The 20089-nt window shown below is 46.1% G+C and overlaps 1 protein-coding gene and 1 long non-coding RNA gene across 30 annotated transcripts in view, besides 1 other annotated feature; both read right to left on the bottom strand.

The window, feature by feature from the left end:
- The window catches only part of PTPRM (protein tyrosine phosphatase receptor type M), an 839541-nt gene that overhangs the window by 2371 nt on the left and 817081 nt on the right, over positions 1 to 20089 (bottom strand). For all 29 annotated transcript variants that reach the window (XM_011525708.3, XM_047437715.1, XM_011525712.3 and 26 more), the window contains 3 exons: positions 19800 to 19925; positions 17251 to 17414; positions 9875 to 10010 (listed from right to left, as the gene is read on the bottom strand). In XM_011525708.3, the coding sequence (XP_011524010.1) occupies positions 9875 to 10010; positions 17251 to 17414; positions 19800 to 19925 (426 nt within the window). The remainder of the gene's footprint in view (positions 1 to 9874; positions 10011 to 17250; positions 17415 to 19799; positions 19926 to 20089) is intronic.
- On the bottom strand, positions 889 to 9862 carry LOC124904241 (uncharacterized). The gene is made up of 2 exons (XR_007066275.1): positions 6486 to 9862; positions 889 to 4873 (listed from the first exon to the last, which is right to left on the bottom strand). It is a non-coding gene; the product is annotated as an uncharacterized LOC124904241 (long non-coding RNA).
- Positions 2732 to 3262: an enhancer, noted in NCBI's record as "H3K4me1 hESC enhancer chr18:8401222-8401752 (GRCh37/hg19 assembly coordinates)". NCBI's record gives its function as "activates a minimal SCP1, AML or CMV promoter by ChIP-STARR-seq in naive H9 embryonic stem cells {active_cell/tissue: H9 hESC(naive)}" and the evidence as "EXISTENCE:reporter gene assay evidence [ECO:0000049][PMID:30033119]".

Raw genomic sequence — 20089 nt, 5'->3', positions numbered from 1 at the left:
CAGTCTCTAGCCCAGAACTGACACAGTTGAGAGTCAAAGTCGGCTACATGTACACATGATGACAAGCCATGGGTCCAGCAGCATGTGATCCAACTCAATACACATGTACTGCTAGAGACTGGGGATTTTATGACACATTCAGTCCTCGGGAAGGTCATGATCCAGAGGCGAAGACAGAGAACAAGAAGATCATTTCAATCACTGACGGTGCCATGAGATTAATGTCAGTGGAATAACATTCACGAGAAGGCTCACATAACAAGAAAATCGCAGGTGTTAGCGAGGGCGTGGAGAAAGCGAACCCTCATACACGGCTGGAGGGAATGTCAAACGGTGCAGCCACTTTGGAAAACCGTCTGGCAGCTCCTCAAAAGGTTAAACACAGAATTCCCATATGACCTAGCAATTCTACTACTGGGTGTACACCTAAGGAAACTGAAAACATACGTATACACAAAAACTCTGTAAACAAATGTTCACAGAGCATTATTCCTAACAGCCAAAAAGGGTAAACAACTCAAATGTACATCAATAAAATGTAGTATAGCCATAAAGTGGAATATTACTTGGCTATGAAAAGGAATGAAGTACTAATCCATGTTACAACGTGGATGAACTGAAGCATGGATGAATCTGCTGAGTGAAAGAAATCAGATTCAAAAGGGCACACACTCCTTTTCTATGAAAACACCCAGCACATGCAAATCTATAAAGACTGGAAGCTGAAGGGTGGTTGCCAGAGCCTGGAAGTGGGTAATGGGGAGTGGCTGCTAGTAGGTCTAGGATTTCTTTGAGGGGGCTAAGTGGGTGATGGAAATGTTAAACATTTGGTTTGTGGTGATGGTTGCATAACTCTGTGAATACACTGAAAACCAGTGAATGACACACTTTAAAAGGGGATTTTTTTTTATTTGGGGTACATGTGCTTGTTTATTACATGGGTATTACACATGTAATGGTGGGGATTGGGCTCCTAGGGTATTCATCCCCCAAATGAATGTTCATAGTGCATTACACGGCTGGTAGGAATGCAAAACACTGGAAACTGATTACAATCGAATGTTATACCCAACAGGTAATTTTTCAACCCTCCCTCTCCTCCCTGCTCTTTTGGAGTTCCCAGTGTCTATTATTTCCATCTAAAAGGGGAAATGTTATGGCATGCAAATTATATTCCAATAAAGCTTTATTAAACAAATCGCTAGTAGAAAAATGCTTATTCCATGATGTGAATCCTACCTTTAATGTCTGTGAAGGACTCAGGTGGAACTGCAACTGGGTGGACTCTGACATAGGAAACATGAATCCAGTTGTTCTTTGCTTTCTAGACTCATGGGTCTGAGTGCCCCACACTGACCAGGAGCCTGAGGTCCTATTAACCATCCCCGACATCTTGGCCAATCCATTCCCCTCTGGTCATAAAACAGGGGGTTGGATCATATTTAAGTTTCCCTTCCAGCTTTCTCAATTTAGAACTTTTGGACTTGGTTTGCCTTTAAAGTAAGTCTGATGACATTTGAGAAGGTGTTCCTTAAATTATCTCCTAGTGCAAATAACAAATATTTTACTAGCCTGTATTTCCCTTAAATAGACCACTTTTTCCACACACAATGCCAATAAAGGTAGAAGTATTTTTTTAACTTTTTAACTGGAAAAAATTATTTCTTGCCCTGGGCAAAATTAGATTTCTGATTCATATTCTAGTATTTATTATTTCAGGATTTGATACTTTTATTTTCAGAATATTTAAAAGAGATAATTGGAATTTCAAAATTCCAAAAGGCCACGTTGTCAGATCACCAGGCCGACATCTTGGCTGTGAAGTGCTCCCATCATGCTTTTGTGAATCACAGGGACAATTCTTTCTGTAATGGAAATCTACACGGTCCCATCCCTTACTGCATAAAAAAGATTTTATACAAGCCTAATTGTGCAATTAATTTCAGTGGCTACTCAGAGCCATCCTTTTAACATATTTCCTTTTAACATGTTAAAATGCACCTAGTGGAGAGATGTGGCTGCTGCCCTCAGGCCACAACACAGGCCGGAAACTCAGGAGGGATTTTGGGCTTCGCTGCTAAGGAGCTGCTGCTTGGAAGTCACCGAAGCTGCCCTGTCTCAGGCATGACTATAATTTTCAAAATGAATTCTCCCTCTCCCACCTTATCCTTCCTGAGCAAGCACCCAGTCCCCATAGATTCTGTGATGACTGGTTTCTGAATCAGAAAAATAAGGGGAAAGAGAAGGAAGACCACAAATTGTTGTGTCCCCTCCCCCAAGCACCTGGGTAAATGCCTGAAATCTTCCTACATTGGAAACTGATTACATTTGATTACCAGGTATAGGTCTATCTGCTGCAGTTTCCTCTCTCAGCTCACTCCCTTTTGAACAGTATAATTAAGCCACATGAGCCATCCCTGTGCTCCAGGGGAAAAAGGAATGTTTAGGCCTTGGTCCTGAGTGCTCCAATTTGGGTGACATTAGCTGGCTTCGGGCATGAGGAGGTGCCCTGAGTAGGGGCTCAGGTGGGAGCCTGGCCCGGTCCTCCTCACATCCTTGGGTCAGACCGTAACCAGGGCAACCTGCTGCTATTCCTCACCAAGGTCCCTGACGCTGGCCCCGCTCCCGATCAGACTTCCTGTACCTATGAGTGGGAGAAAGCAAAATGTGCAAGGGAACTGGAAATTGAGGTTGGCTGTTAAAAGCCACTGCTAGCTTGGTGAGGGCGTCACGAGGCCAGCACACCAGCGGGCGGCACTGGGGGCCTCCGTCAGGGGCCCGAGCCTTGTCGTCTGCGCAGGCTGCCTGTGTCTAAGGAACTCAGGCTGGCGGCCAGCGTGGGCACTTCAAACACCACATCAACGGCCTCCAAAGGTTCAAAGAGAATAGCCTCCACCTCTGACCTGGTTGCTTTTGAAACTAAGGCAAGCTCTATGATTTTGGCTAGACCCTGAACGGACAGATCCTTCGGGCTGGAAAAATTCTTCTGAGTGATGCCCTGCCAGAAGGGCAGCGTGGGCCCTATTACCGTGGTGGGATCCCTCAGTTCAGTGTTCCCAGCCAGGTTGTGGCCAGCCACTCTGTGCCAAGGAGACCAATAAATTCTCATCCCTGCTCAGCGAGACAGCAGCATGTCCCTGGAATGATGAGTGGCTCATTCCCTTAATCTCTATCTTTAATACCTATAGGTAGAACTTTCTTCACCAAAGCCCCCTGCAAAATCCATGCCCAGTTCCTTATTGAGGCCCTGCTGAGCACAGCCACAACCTCCCCTAGGTTGGAGAGGGCAGCAAAGGGTGGCTCAGGTTGGACTCAGGTCTGGCTGCAGAGAAGAATGGTTCAGTCACTCAGAAAATGCTTACTGGGAAACTCCTGGGAGCCAGGCGCTTGGCTGGTGCTGAGTGTAGGGGGCAGGATGGGCAAGTGGAATCTGGGGGTGGGGAGAGGGGATGGGGTATTAGCAAAAATTATTACAAACCTTCCTCAACAGTGCAGGAAGACTGACCATGGGTGGATTCAAGGTGCCTGGAGTGTGGATTGGGGACCCTAGCTCACCTCTGATTCCCACCCAACTCCTGCACTCACCACCCCAACACATGCACACACACATGCACAGCCGTTAAATAGGCTGCAAATTTCACAGCAAGAGCTATTGAGGGACAGCCTATACACACCAGTTGGTGGCACAAGGGGGAGAGCTGTAGGCCCCACACCACATTGCATTTTGTATGTGAGTCCATTGTTGGCTTACTAAAGGGGAGGTGAGGCTGAGTCTGGAGGGTCGGCTGTAAGTTACAGAGGGGGCAACCTGAACCTGTGCGGCAGATCCGCAGATCAGGATGGGGCCTGGCTCTGGAGTAAGTGGGACGGAGGGGGAGGGGGCGGCGAGCTGTGAACACCGCCGCATGGCACTGCAGGGAAGGGAGAGGCCCGCTGATCCTCCTACACCAACTTTCTCAGCCGTGTGGCACGTCTATCCTACCTGGCGGGGGCTCCATCTCAGAGCCTCTGGCTGAAGTGGGCTGGGGCAGGCCTGTGCACTGGTATTTCTGAAAGCTCCCCCGGGAGTTGGGGGTGGGCGGATTCTCAAGTGCAGCCTGGGCTGATACTGCGTCTAGAGCAGACATGGTTCTTAAGCTAGGCTGCACATGAGACTCACCAGGGGCTTTTAACACTCGGCTGCTGCAGCCAGGCCCCTGACCAATCGAATCAGTCTCCAGGTGGGCCCAGGGATCAGAATTGTTCTAAAGCTCCCAGATGACTTCAGTGGGCAACCAGGCTTGAGAACCACTGAGGAGATGCTCTTTTCTGAATCTTACAAGGCACGTGATGGTGGACGGGGCTGTTCCTGTTACACCTGGTCTGAGATGAAGCTCACACACACAGTGATTGAGCTCTGCCCTGTTCTCAGGTCCCCTACACTAACCTGTGCCCTTTTTCTCCCGGTGCAAGAGCATGCACTGCTTTACCACCCTTTATCCTGGATTTCTCCCAGCAACTCAGTAACAAATCAACCCAGCGAAGGGTTATGACCATCACCTTCCTACAGGGCCCTCCCTTTCAGACTCCCAGGTGGGTTGGGACTGCTTATCCGGCTACATTCTATTTGGAATTTTCGTCTAATGGCTTTTAGTTGTCGATTTTTTTCCCTTACCTTTTCCACACATCATGAACCCTGAGAGCCCCGCTGGTGTCCAGCCTCTAGGCTGGGAGAAAGCTTGGGGGGCTCCTTGTAGGGTGGTTGAACATCAGCAGGCTTGGAGCTGGGAGGAGGGATCCGGATCTGGATTTGGCTTGCACGAATGACGAAACGCTAGACTTCTCTGTAAAGGGGGTGCAGCGGCAGCACCTCTTCTGGCTTTGGTGAAGGTGACTGAGTATAACAAGATAACTCTTGGGACATGTTCCATAAACAGAAAAGCCCCGTAGCCTTCTATGAACAGTATTCTTTTTTGTTGTTTTTGATGTTACTTTGTAAAAAACAACAGCTTTGTTGAGATATAATTCACATACCATAAAATTGGCCTCTTTAAAGGATACAGTTGTTACATAAAGTTCATGAGAGGCCACTGTTTGGATGAGGCCCTGACAGACTAGACCAAACCAGAATGGAGTCCCTCGTGCTAGGTGCTACGTCGCCATCCAACTGAACTTTGAAATAGGGCAGCTTTCCAAACATCAGGAGAAGTGCAACAACCAGTCAGAAGCGACCCGGTTTTCCTGAGCTGCCATGATAAAGAAGTCCCTTCTGTTTTAACCGTATGATGGAAGGAAGTTTGAAACAACCGATCTGCGTTGTGTTCCCTGTCTCTGCCTTCTCAAGCTTTTTTCTGCCTATAAAGCAGCCTCCTCTGCTCAGCTCCTTGGAGCACTCGTTCTATTTTACAGAATGACATGTTGCCTGATTCTAGGGTCACTAATACAAGCCAATTAGACCTTCAAATTAAATGTGTTGTAATTTTGTACTTTAACACAGTTCAGTGGTTTTCAGTATATTTACAGACTTATATACAATCTAAGTTTAAAACATTCCCATCACCTCAGAAAGAAACCCTGTGCCTATCAGCAGTCACCCCCATCTCCCTCCCCCAGCCCTCAGCAGCCACTACTCTACTTTCTGTCTCATGGATTTGTCTGTTTTGAACATTTCACAGACAAGGAGTCATAGAATATGTGGCCTTTTGTGACTGAATTAATAGTTTTTTTTTTTTTTTTTGAGAAGGAGTCTCACTCTGTTACCTAGGCTAGAGTGCAGTGGTGCGATCTCAGCTCACTGCAACCTCTGCCTCCTGAGTTCAAGTGATTCTTCTGCCTCAGCCTCCCAAGTAGCTGGGATTACAGGTGCCTGCCACCACGCCCGGCTAATTTTTATATTTTTAGTAAAGAAGGGGTTTCACCATGTTGGTTGGCCAGGCTGGTCTCAAACTCCTGACCTCAGGTGATCTGCCCACCTCGGCCTCCCTAAGTGCTGGGATTACAGGCGTGAGCCACCGTGTTTGGCCAGGCTTAATATTCTTACTCCCACTTTACAGATGAGAAAACTGAGGTTCAGGTAGGACTTTTGCATCTCCAGTGAGTTCTAAGCTCCATGTGGGAGAGACTGTATCTTCTACTTCTCTTGCATCAATGCCCAGTGATGCTGCACATAGAACAGAGGCTGAGAAATATGTGCAGAATGGCATGAAACTAAGATAAGATGCCAGGCCAGGCACTGTGGCTCATGCCTGTAATCCCAGCATTTTGAGAGGCTGAGGCAGGAGGACTGCTTGAGGCCAGGAGTTTGAAACCAGCCTGGGCAAAACTGCAAGACTCCCATCTCTAAAAAAATAAAAATAAAAATAAAAAACCAGCCAGGCATGGTTGCATGCCCCTTTAGTTCCAGCTACTTGAGAGGCTGAGGTGGGAGGATGGCTTGAGCCCAGGGGTTTGAGGCTGCAGTGAGCTATGATCACGCCACTGCACTCCATATTAAAGTGTGTAATTACCTGCAGAGGCAGCTTTGTCAGCCCTGCCCAAGGCATTTGGGTAAATGATGGGGCCAGTTGTTCACTTCCTGGGCAGTGCACTAGGCTGTGGAGGGGAGTCTTCCAAAGTTCCCACCACCTCACAGGGGACACTATGTTTCTCTAGGCAAGATCTGCCCTTGAAGACCATTTCTATGTTAAAACAGAGCCCTGGGAACTTCAAAAGCCATTAAGGAAGGCAAAAGTGAGAGGGGAGCTGCCAGCGTGAAGCAGCCGCTTTCCTGCAGCCGGAGTCTCTTCAAAGGAGCTCAGGTGCCAGCACTCCTTCTGAATATAACTAGGCGAGTCGTGGGGAATCTCAGGCTGTGCTGTCCTTGTCCATCCTCTGGGGACCCAGTTCTTTGATGGGGACTTGAGGCTGGTTGAAGAGATGGATAACTTAGAAGCGGGCTGAAAAAGGGGTCAGGAAAAATGCAGCTGCCCCTGCTGGATACAAAAAAATCTAGTCTTGTATTAGAAACTATTTTGCCTCCTGGCAATCCACTGGCTTTTCTCCAGAGCTCCCAAAGCTAAAAATTTGCAGAAATACATCTTGAGGGCTTTCTGGATCTCCCTGGAGAGTGTCATGCTTCAACACGAACCGACGAATCTTCCCACTCAGAAGCAATTTAGAACAATCAGAGCTGCAAAGGGAGATGGTGAGAGACACAGCGTCCCTCTGTGTGCTCACCCGCCCTGGCAGGGAGGGTAGAGCGGTAGCATTTGCCTGTTCTGAACGGAAGGGACCATGAGGGAATGCAGCCACACATGTGATCTGGTGGGGCTGGGGCGAGGGCCCCTCTATTGCACCCTAGCCTGCCTCTGCAGACACTCGGAAGTGCCCCCAGGGCTGTCTGGCACATGCTCGTCATCCTCTGAAGACGCGGCTAAGTAGACTCAGTACACTGCTCTTTTCAGCTGCTGGCACAACATTCTGTGCTTAGGACACACTCAGGCCTCAGATGGCCTGTGATGCCCAATAAAACTGTACCAGACTTTATCACCCTGGCCTAAGCTAATTAATTCTCTCAGACAACATACAGAGGTATCAACACCAAACTAAACAGAAGTCGTATTTACAGGCAAAACCAAATGACAACAGGTCCTATTCAGTTCTGGAAGCTTCAAACCCACTGAAAAGAGGATGGTGAGATTTTCTTTGTCACCAGATATTATCTAATACCCTGCTAACAGCCCCGTGACAGATATGTCACATAGTTTTCTCCAGACATTGCAAAACTTTCCTACATTTCTCAGACCCTGACCTTATCCTCCACCTGCTGCTGACTTTGGAGGTCTGGGCACCCAGAAATCCCATCTTCTCCCTCAGGATCACACATAATACAAAAAGTCCTAAGTTACGATAGAATCGTGGGCTGGGACCGCAAGCTCCCTTCTGGTTCGGCCATCTAAGCCTCCATTTATTTCACGAAAAATCACCCCTGTCCTTCAGCGTGCACCACTGATTTGGAAAAAGCCCCATCACTCCTGCCCATAAAACCTGGTGAGTGATGAAAGCTGCAGCTGGAGCCATTAGAGGAAAGGCCTGGAAGGGTCTGTTTCTAATGATGTGCTTAATTCAGGCTGCAGTGAGAGGGAAGTGACATTTTTTTTGATCAAGGTCAGCTGTGCCCAAGTACCAACCAGAGTCTCGAGGCTACATACCTGTCCCTGAATTAGTGAGGTTAACCACCTCACAAAGCCACAGGCAGAATATTTCATTTGTGCATTTGTTTCTATCCTCTGCTAGCCCAAACTCAGGCCTCTGCCGACAGCATGGCCACTCTTTGCTCAATTGCCTCCATCCTGGAACACTGGGAATTCCATGGCGGTAGAACTCTTTACCATTCAGGTGGGATTGCAGGGAGGGAGACGGTCCTAGTGAAGCCCCACACCAGCCTTTCAACAACCCACAGGAAATCCGTTACTACATCCAGGGCACTTAGAGCCCTTCTGCCAGGCCACTGATGGCATCACGCCTGGCAGACTCCTACACTCTCTACAACCACCTCTCCCCTTTGCAATTTCCAAAACACTTTCACATCTCTCTGCACACTGGGTACCTCAGTGAGCTCATGGTATCCCTAGTTTACAAAACTAAAACCTAAGGGAGTTAAGTGACATGCTTAAGGACACTTAAATGACAAAACTAATGTGTTTGGGGTCACCTAACTAGAATTAGTAGTAGAGTTGAGACTAGAATTTGGGTTTCCATGGGCTCCCCGTAGGGTGGGGAGGAGGGGCGCAGGAGTCTGGGGAGCACAGTCCTTTCTGCCCCTTCTAGAAGCCAACATGCTAACAGCTGATGGGTGAGAGTGTGCCTAACCAAGTGGGTGTGACAAATTTTCTGACCAACAGCCATGCTTCTTGGAAATGGAGCAGCTCATCAGGCACGAGACATGTATCTGGGCAAAGTGGATGCCCTGGAGAGTGGTTCGTGATGAGTGGGACACGTTTGGGAGCTCGTTGTCATTGGTCACTACTATTAGCCAGCCTGGAGCACTGCTATTATGACTTCTTAAACTGCATGAGGACCATGGCTACTTCCTCAAATTCAGCTTGACTCTCAACTCCCTCTTAAGTCCCTTTATTTTAATTTTTAACATCAACCCCAGTGTTGTGATGCTGTGGACCTGGGAACATTGGCTTTGGCGCTTGTCCCATCGGCCATCTCTTCCTCCCTCTCCTGCCCCCAAGCCATTTTCCAACCTTGGATTAGTCCTGCTGTTTCCTACAGATCCTTCCTCCACTCACAGAGAAGTGCAAAAACCTAATCTAAAAGCTTCCTCCTTTAAACTATTCTAGAGTCACGGTGGTTGGCATTTCAACAGCTCCACATAAAAAGAGATTTCATAAAATACTCTTAAGAAAATAATTGTACATTGTCCTTTGTTTCTCATCTCCTTTAATACTTTTCTCAGATATGGCCACCATAATTAAATGCAATATTCTGGATGTCAAACTAAAATTCACAGCTTTGATAAATATTAGGCGATTAAGCTATTTATAAAATATATAATTTGAAAATCTGGCATTTCACGTACTATGATTATTTCTTCTCTGTGAAGACTAAGTGCTTAGCCACATGGAAGGCACTGCCAGGAAGGGAAGTTAATAAGGATGTTCACTTGTGAGTTTCAGCTATTTCCGCATTTCGAATGAGCTGGAGACAAAGTCTCCGTGTGAAGAACAAAGAGAGGAAGAGGGAGAACAAGAAAGAAGAAAAAAGCCCTACAAGCAAAGTGATTACATTGTGATTTTGAAAATGAGTCTCTTCCTCTACGCATCAGTTTCCCTGCAAATCTGGGAGCTGGAGTGGATTCTAATGCTAATGGGGTGTCTCATGGAACAGCTCAGAGGGGGTGTCCTACCAGGAGGTCGACCATGTTGGGCTTGTTGTTCCTCAGTGTCTTCACAGCGTGAAAGACATCCACGGTTCTCTGGTGCCGGAGCATCTCACATACGATGCTGATGGCGCAGAACGTCCCACTGCGGCCTCCCCCGTTCCTGTCGTGAAAAAGATCAGATGACTGCACTCGGTCTGTCTTTACACTGCATCTTGCAAACACCTGTGGAAACAAGCTGTCTAAACCCTGGGGAACAGTAACAACAAAGGGCTCTGAGGCCGGGGGACCTCTTACCTGGGCAGATTCTTTTAATTAAAGCAAACAGAGCAAGCCATCCGCAGTGTTTGGCCACAGGTCACCTGACTGCAGAGCCTTTCCCAGCTCACCTCAGCCCTGGTCACATTCTCTGATACAGCAATTCATCGATAAGGGCCCATGGTAGAAAATTTTCAATGAACCTTATTTAGGTTCTGCCAGGAAAATTGCTGTGACAAGTACGGGTTACGTTCAAAGACGTATCTGGCCTTTAAAAACATCCATTAGCAGCTGGGCGCAGTGACTCACACCTGTAATCCCAGCACTTTGGGAGGCCAAGGTGGGTGGATCACGAGGTCAGGAGATCGAGACCTTCCTGGCTAAACACGGTGAAACCCCATCGCTACTAAAAAATACAAAAAAAATTAGCCGGGCGTGGTGGCGGGTGCTTGTAGTCCCAGCTACTCGGGAGGCTGAGGCAGGAGAATGGCGTGAACCCGGGAGGTGGAGCTTGCAGTGAGCCGAGATTGTGCTACTGCACTCCAGCCTGGGCAACAGAGCGAGACTCCCTCTCAAACAACAACAACAACAACAACAACAAATCCATTGGCATTTCATTATTTATCTATAAAACATAGAGGCTCTTTTTAAAGAAAACTTTTTACTATGAACCCATGTTAGATGTGCAGAAATGTAAAAATAGCATAGAGAATGCATATCCAACTTCCCTGATATGAACACCTTACTTGCCCACAGCGCATTATGCAAACCAAGAACGTGATGCTGGGACAATACTATTAACTAAACCACAGACTGTAGTCACATCTTACTAGTTCCTCCACGAATGTCCTTTTTCTGGTCCAGGATCCAGTCGTGCATGTAGTTGTCCTGTCTCCTTAGTTTCCTTCAGTCTTTCCTTGTATTTCCTGACCTTGACACTTTTGAAGAGCACTGATCAGTGATTTGTAGAATATAAAGAATGTAGAACACAGAAGTAGAAAGTAGCTGTCGTCCCCAGCCGCAATCTGAGAAGTCATCACAAACTATAACATGTAGACCATCCCTTCATTTGGGTTTGTCTGATGTCTTCTCATGACTGGAAACAAGGCCGTGCATTTCGGTAAGAAAACCAGAGAGGGGATGTTCCCTCCTCCCAGGGGTTCAGGATGTCCATCTGTCTTATTACTGGTGATGTTAACTTGCTCACTTGTTAAGATGGTGTCTGCCAGATTTTCTCACCATAAAGTTATCATCTTTCTCTTTGCAGTCAATAAATATCTGGGAGGAAGATATTTTGGGACTACGCAAATATTTTGTTTCTCGCCCACTGATTTGAGCATCCGTTGGTGGATCTTGTCTGCAACAATTAATTATCACTGTGGTGTTTGCCTAATGGTGATTTCCTGTTTCCCTCTCTTTCAACATTCTACACTAAGAAAGAGCTGTCTCTTCTTCCCTATTATTGTTTATTTATTTTATGATTTGTTTATTTCAGTGTGAGCTTATACATAATAATTTTATTCTATCAGCTAAAATCCAAGGGTACTAATATTGATTTTGTTCACATTGTTCCAGCTTTGGCCAGTGGGAGCTCCGTCAGGCTGGCTCTTTTGTTCTTTTCTGACAAGTCCCCAGCCTGTTTTATTTCTTTACTCTCTGCAACCACATAATGGTCCAGGCTCATCCCGCACTATCCCTGCATCAACTCTGCAGTCACTCTCTCCTCAAGGAGATAAGGGACCTTTTTTTTTTTTGAGATGGAGTCTCACTCTGTCACCCAGGCTGGAGTGCAGTGGCGCGATCTTGGCTCACTGCAAGCTCTGCCTCCTGGGTTCACGCCATTCTCCTGCCTCAGCCTCCCGAGTAGCTGGGACTACAGGCACCTGCCACCATGCCCGGCTAATTTTTTTGTATTTTTTTAGTAGAGATGGGGTTTCACCGTGTTAGCCAGGATAGTCTCAATCTCCTGACCTAGTGATCTGCCCGCCCCGGCCTCCCAAAGTGCTGGGATTACAGGTGTGAGCCACCGCGCCCGGCCATGGGACCTTTTTATTTTTAAACACAGTACACAGTATAACTATCATACCTAAAATAATAACATTACTGTTTTAAAATTATCAAATTTCTAGTCAGTGTTCCAGTTTCCCAGATTGTTTCTTACAGCTGCTTTTTTAAAAAATCCACTCTCAGATTGTTTCTTACAGATGCTTTTTAAAAAATCCACATCTAGGCAAAGTCCACAGATTGGATTTGGTTGGTATGTCTTGCAAATTTATTTTACTCTGTGAGTTCCTCTTTGCTCTCTCTTTTTTCTTGAGAATTTATTTGTTGAGGAAACAAGTTCATCTGTGTCCTGTAGAGAGTCCCACATCCTAGATTTTTCTCATTCATCACATCTCTGTGATATTATTTAATATGCTGCTTTCTAACTCTGTATTTCCTGTAAATCGGTAGGTAGTTCCAGGGCTTGGTAAGAATTCAAGATTGATTTATTTATACAAGGATACTTAAAGTATACTTTCATTAGGAAGCAAGCCAAAAATATCTGGTTGTCCCTTGTTTTATGGTTTTAAGAGAGATCATCGTGTTCGGATATCAGCTTGATCAGCCCATTATGAAATTCTGAATCAGTTTTTTAACTAAAGTATAATATACCTACAATAAAGACCGTAAGTAGACAGCTCAGTCAATTTTTACCAATGCATACACCATGTAACCACCATTCAGATCAAGATACAAACCACGTTCAGTCCCCAAGAGGCTCCCTCACGTTCCTTCCTCAACAATACCATCAGTATCACCAAAGAGAATCCATTCTTAAGCCTAGCATCATCAATTGTTTTTGCCTGTTTTTCAGCTTTGTGTAAATGAACCATACACTATGTCTTCTTCTGAGACTGGCTTATTTCACTCTGTGTTGTCTGTGTGAGAATCACCCACGGTGTTATATTGGTAGTTTATTGTTTTATATTGCTAAGAAGAATTCCACTGAATGAATACCCACTGTACAATTTATCCAACAGCTGATGAATGTTTGGGCTGTTTCCAGTTTTTAAATATTATGAGTAAACCTGTGATAAGCTTATCTTTTGGTAGATGATTCATTTCTGCAGTCATTTCTCTAAGAACAGAAGAGCTCAGCCTCAGACTGCGTATATGTTTAGCTTTGGTAAATGCTGTCAGTTTCCAAATGGTTGTACAGTATTTACTTCCTTCCTACAGTGTATAAGAGTTCCAGTTACTCCACAGCTTCACTAACACTTGGGATTATCATTTATTTGTCTGTCTTTAAAATTTCAGCCATTCTGGTGAGTACACAGTGGCATGTGATCCTGGTTTCAATGTGGATTTGCCTAAAAATGAATAATATTGAGTAACTTTTCTATGCTCATTGGCTATTCGGGACATCTTTATTATTATTATTATTATTATTATTATTATTATTTTCTTTTTGAGACAGAGTCTTGCTCTGTCGCCCAGGCTAGAGTGCAGTGGCACGATCTTGACTCACTGCAAGCTCCGCCTCCCGGGTTCACGTCATTTTCCTGCCTCAGCCTCCCAAGTAGCTGGGACTACAGGCACCTGCCACTGCGCCCGGCTAATTTTTTGTAGTTTCAGTAGAGACGGGGTTTCACCGTGTTAGCCAGGATGGTCTCGATCTCCTGATCTCGTGATCCACCCGCCTCAGCCTCCCAAAGTGCTGGGATTATAGGCGTGAGCCACTGCGCTGGGCTGGGACATCTTTTGTCTTCAGTGAAGTACCTGTCAAGTTTTTTGCCCATTTAATAAATTGAGTTGTCTATCATTTTCCTACTGGCTTGCAGTACAGCAGTTCTTCGACATTGTGGCCGAGTCCTTTGTCAGACACATGTATTATAAAAGTCTCCTCCCACTGCCTTGCTTCTTCACCCTCTTATTGCCATCTTTTGATGAAGAGAAGGGCTCAATTTTAATGAAAGTCCACGTTGTCAATATTTCTTTTAAGGCTATTGTTCTGTGTCCTGTTTAACAAATCTACCCGCGGTCGTGAAGATATTCTCCTATGTTTTCTTCTAGAAGCTTTGTTATTTTACTTTCCCCTTTTGGTCTACCATCTATCTAGAAGGGATTCTGTACATGGAGTGAGGGAGACCAACGTGTCCAGGCAGTCTTCCCCACCCACTGCAGTGCTGCGTTGCAATGGCATCTTTGTTGTAAGTCAGATGACGCTGAGGTACGGATCTGTCCCTGGACTGTCTCTTCTGCTAATTAGAAGATTAGCTGTTTTCTATCCTTGCCTTACCATTACACCGCTTTTCCTATCAGCTTTGCACCTAATACTTTCGGCAGCTGTTGAAGACCACTGTCTAATCTATTATTTTCATCAAGAGTTGCAAAGTGGTGAAATCTTAATTCTATCCATTTAATCTAGCTTTATTAGCTGGGAGACACATATAAAGAAAAACACTCTCTATTTGCCTACCTTGAATATCTGTGGCTCAAGGAACCATTCACTTCAAAGCACCGGCAGGTCTTGTCTCAGCCGGGAACTCTCCACCCACAGCCGTTAGGTGGCGCTACACTATGCTGAATGCCATGCTCTTACCTCCAAGAGGAAGACTGGAGTGGTTTGATTCTTTCCTGGCCAGTACTGGGGGATGCCAATGTAAACTAACTTTGTTTCTTATAGCTAAAAAAAGCCTTAGATTTAGATATATAAATGTAAACAAAAATAAACATTCTCACCAGGCCTAGGTCTCATGCCCACCTTGATGCTAAGAGAGCAAGAGACAGCCCCACATGAACAGAGGCGGGGCTTTAGGGAGGGGGGAGTATTCCAAAGAATAATCAAGGTTCTCTCAGTGGAAAATGGGAAGAGATGCTGCACAGGCAGGAGAGAAGAAACAACGGATGCCTCCCACCGTCCACTGTGAAGAACGGCTGATTGCTTTAGGTTTTACATGGAACAGCAATGTCACTGGTTAGTTCTGTGGTCACAGCTGCCTCTGGGAAGTGTGTTGTTGACAAGGTGCAGTGATTTAAGAAGTCTTTATGTCTTCTTGTTAGGCCTGTCCTGGTGCCTCAACTTCTTCGAGTCACTAGTAACTTAGTCCTGTGGGTTAAAGCACTGACCCTTTTTAGAAAGCTGCTAATCCCGGGGGGAGCGATGCATTATACATCTAGCTCCAGACGCTGGGGGTCTCCAGATGCAGGCAGGGGTAACTGCAACCTATTTTTAGTATTTTAGAAAAATCTGATATATCTAATACAAACGAACTACAATGTTAATATTCTTTGCTGGGATTGTATCATCTCAGCGTGAGCCTCTTGTTCTGATCAGAGGTTGGATCTGGATTGAAGAGAAATAAAAATAGGGATGTGGACTGCTAATGAATTCTTTTTGTCATTTTCTTGATAGAGATTTTTTTTTTCTTTTCTTTGAGATGGAGTCTCGCTCTGTCCCCCAGGCTGGAGTGCAGTGGCGCCATCTCGGCTCACTGCAAGCTCCGCCTCCCGGGTTCACGCCATTCTCCTGCCTCAGTCTCCCGAGTAGCTGGGACTACAGGTGCCCACCACCATGCCTGGCTAATTTTTTGTGTTTTTAGTAGAGACGGGGTTTCAACGTGTTAGCCAGGAGGGTCTTGATCTCCTGACCTCGTGATCCACCTGCCTTGGTCTCCCAAAGTGCTGGGATTACAGGCGTGAGCCACTGCGCCTGGCCAACAGAGATTTTTTAATGCACTGGGTCCATGAGAAGAAAGGGGGGATGACAGCAACTAGAGAAAGGTGAGGTTAATAAACTGCTTTTTAGAGGACAAAAGATTGGAACTTCTGGTTGAAGACAACTGTGGGTAGGTTCTTAAGGCTCCTTCCAAAGGAATATCAGTTTCCTGCAGGATGAGACACTATCGTGTTTTGATCGTTGAGAGGCAGGCAGAGTCCTGGGCTTCCAGGGAGACTTTGCAGGCCCGGGGTAGGAGGTGGCATTGCATCAGACAAGGGCACTGACTGGAGAGTAACCCACGCCCTGAGCCAGGTCTGCAACTTTAACTAGGCTTGATCTACCCGGAGTGAAACTTTATTTTGCCTTCAATTTAAGAGAGATCTCATTGTGTACTTCTAATGATACTTCACTGAAAAGTGACATTCGCTTATCCTTTAAATTTCCCCAAATTCTCTAAACATCTTCCTTATCTGCCGTGACTTTCTAATTGCCTGTTCTATTAAGCCGATTGCAGCTGGTTGATTAGCTACATATCACTGCCAATGAGAAAATGCAGGTGAAAGTGCTTTGAGAAACATGGCATTCTCCATTCAGTGGCTCTCAACCTTATTATCTCAACACATTGAAATCACCTAGGCATTTAAAAAAAACACCCATGTCTGGGCCCCACTCCCAGAGATTTTGATTTAATTGGTTGGGGTGTGGCCTAGGTGTGGGCTTTTTTTTTTTTTCATGTAAAGCTCCCCAAATAATTCTCAATGTGCAGGTAAGGCTGCGGGCTATGTGTAGCAGGGGTGCCCATATTTAGCACCTGCAAAACCTGCTGGCCTGGAAGCCTCATTCTGGGGACACTGGCTGTAACCAAATGCTCCCAATATACACATTCTCCCAAAAAGCATGCACGCGCGCGCACACACACGCACACACGCACACACACACACTCCAGGTCCTTTGAGACCTGACATGATTTCCAATTGAATAATCAAGTAATGTGGTGGTAAACTGGCCTTTGGCTGGTGGGAAGGAGCCCTGAGTTGTAGCATTTGTTGATTTCCATGATGTAAATCCTTCTACCATGGATGAATTCAAGTTACCAACAGTTGAAGACCCAGCTCAGAAAATTCCTGAAAACTTAACAATTGGCTCTCAAGAGCCAGTGTTTTTTTTTTTTTCCTCTTGGCAGTGGGCGGCGGAGGCAGGGGTCCTAATGAAACGGTCAGTGCTTGCTTGTGCGGCAGCGGCACACCATCCAAATGCAGAATGTGCATATCCTGTTTCCTGAAAAGCCAACCAATCCCTCACTGAGTGTCATGATCACCCCTTCACCTAGACCTACTTATTTCTTCTCCATTTCTAGTGAAACAAAAGTCAGAGAACTAGGAGGTGAGAGTGAGTGTGGGGCCTCGCTGTTCTGAAATGAAGAGCTCTGTCAAGCACTTACAAGCAGTGCACAACCGTGCGGCCTTCCCCGCCATTGTACTCCTCTTGCCACTTGTCCACCTGGCGAATGAGCTTCAAGAAGGAGCGCTTAGACACTGGTGTGTCCCTGTACATCGGCCAGCCCAGGAACTGGAATTGCTGCACCATCCGATATCCATCTTGGGGCTACGAAGAACAAGGCAACAATCGGGGAGTGGAAAGAAAACAGGCATTATTTACTGAATTCCAGTGGGCTGATTCCACTTACTTGATCTTCCCATTATTAAAGGCGAGTCCTGCCTACAAATTACCAACGTGGCTTCTGCTGGCCTGAAGAGTTATGGTTTTTAATCTCGAGCAGTTAAAAACAACCAGGGGTTTTAAATGACAGGCCAGACAAATGACAGGCCAGTGAGGCAGAATGCTTCCCATTCTGCAAAAGCCAAGAGAAAAATAACACAGCATAAGCACTGACCACATTGTCATGTTAAGTGGTAAAATAACTTCAATTACAGGTAAATTACAGGTAATGAATAATTTATAACCTGGAAATGTCTCTGAGCTCAGTGTGAAGATAGAGAACACTGCTTCCTGTGAGCATAATATGGTTTTGCTTATTGATGTTGAATCTTGCTAAGATAGCAATAGTTAATTAATCCTTAGTCATAGTGAAATAGAATTGCAGAATTCAAAAAAGTGTTACTTAGCTTATGATAGAAACATGAAAACAGCTTTAATCTGGCCACGGCTAAATCACTTGGACTGTATCTTCTGTGGCCTTCAGCAGCATCTGACATGGGTGACACTCTCTTCTTGTCAACACGCTTTCCTCACTGGCTGGTCCTTCTCCCACAGCAGTCCCTCCCTCTCTCTCTGCCTCAGTCTCCCCTTCTCCCAGACCTCTTGCTGACAGAAGCCCCCAGGCTCAATCCCTGGGGCCCTTCCTCTTCCTCTGCCTCTCATTTGATTTCATTCAGGCTCACGGCTTTAGATATTACCAATATCCCAATAAGTCATAAACTCATATATCTGGTTCAGCCCTCTCTCTTGAATTTCACCCTTATATTTTCAAAGGCCCACCTGATATTCCCACTTAGGGGCCTAAAAGTCATCCCAAACCTAGTATGTCTACAATTGAGCTTCTGATCCTCTCTCCACAATGCCCCCCACCCACAAACAATCCGGTTACACGGGCAGCCTGGACAACAACTCAGTCAGTGTCCATTCCATCATCCTAGCTCTCAGGACAGGAACCGTGAGAGCCCACTCCATTCCCCAGGATTGTGCTGGCTCTTCCTTCAGAAAATATCAGAACCTCCCCCTTCTCATGACCTCCACTCCTGCTCTCTCCCGTCTCACCATGATCTCCTCTCCTATCACTGTCATTTCTCACGGGGATTATTATCCCAACAGCCTCCTGATGCCTCTCTCCTCCAGTCTATTCTCAACACAGGTGCCAGAGTGCTCCTTTTAAAATGTAAATTACACCATTGGATTTTTGCACTCAAAACTCTGTAATGGCTCCTTATTTCCTTCAAAGCAAAAGTCCAAATGCTGACAGTGACTGCCAGGCCCTTCCAGCCGGGGCCCCCAAGCCACTGTCCTTCCAGGTGAACTGCTCACTCCCCATCAGCTACTCTTGCCTCTGCTCACTGAGCCTGGGCCATGCCGCCTCCTTGCTGTCCTGGCACTCACATGCAAGGCCCTGCCTTGGGGCCTCTGCACTGACCCTTCCTTCTGCCTGGAAAGCTGCCTCCCCAGAGAGCCTCGGTGCTCCCTGGACTCCTCCGTCTTGGCTCACAGGGCACACATGCTTACAACAGAGCTTGCTCCCCACTGTAAGGCCCTAGCACTTTCTAACCCCAGTACTTCTTTTCCTGTAGAATTTGTCACTTCCTAACTTACTACATCTATTATTGTATCTGTTATTTATTGTCTGATTTCTGACAATAATTCTTTGCTTGACCAAACTTTCGTCAGGCTCCTGAATATTCTCCTAGGCCTATCCATGAACTTCCTTGTAAAATCCAGTTTTAGCAATTTCTGTTAAGTCACCGTGGGCAAGAACCACCCACCCTTAATACCTGACCATGTTTGATATCTGATCAGGTTCCTCGGATGTCTGGTCACCTGGCCTGCCTTCAGCCAGAATCCTGTTAAGTCAGTTTAGCCAGAACCCCCCTTACTCTTCATGCCTCCCCTTAGTAATTTTCCATCCACTGACCCCCACCCTGCCTGCTGGCTATAAATTCCTGCCTGCCCATGCCACACTCGGAGTTGAGCCCACTCTCTCTCACCCACTGCAAGGTCCTGTGACAGGGGTCCCTGCACCTATCGTGATGGTCTTGAATAAAATCTGCCTTGCCGTGCTTTAATAAGTATCATTACTTTCTAAATACTGCTCCTATTAGAATGTAAGCTCCATAAGGTCAGGAATCTATGTTTTTTTGGTTCACTGACATACTCCAAACTCCTGGAACAGTGACTGACATAGAGTGAGTGCTCCAAGTATTCAGTGAGTGAGAAAATAAATGAAACCATAATCACAGGCATGACAGGCCCGTCTCTTACTCTGGCGGCATTGTAAATGCGGAATATCCTGCTGATGATGTCCTCTTCCAGGTCAGCAGAGACAAATTCCACCTGGATGGGGCCGTGTCTGTGTACTCCGTTTTCTGGCCAGTACTGTGGACACAACTGAATTCAAAACATATAAACACAAGGTTAGTTATAAGAGGAAATTTACTCCTAACAGTTTGGATAAGGTTAGTATTGACACTCAGTAATCCTTTTTTTTTAAGAGATAGGGTCTTGCTCTGTCTCCCCAGCTAGAGTGCAGTGGTGCGATCATGGCTCACTGC

The sequence above is a fragment of the Homo sapiens genome, chromosome 18 (assembly GCF_000001405.40).
Source record: "Homo sapiens chromosome 18, GRCh38.p14 Primary Assembly".
Classification (NCBI taxonomy): Eukaryota; Metazoa; Chordata; class Mammalia; order Primates; family Hominidae; genus Homo; species Homo sapiens.
Note: the sequence above shows the minus strand (reverse complement) of the source record. Positions and strands in the feature narration are given on the sequence as shown.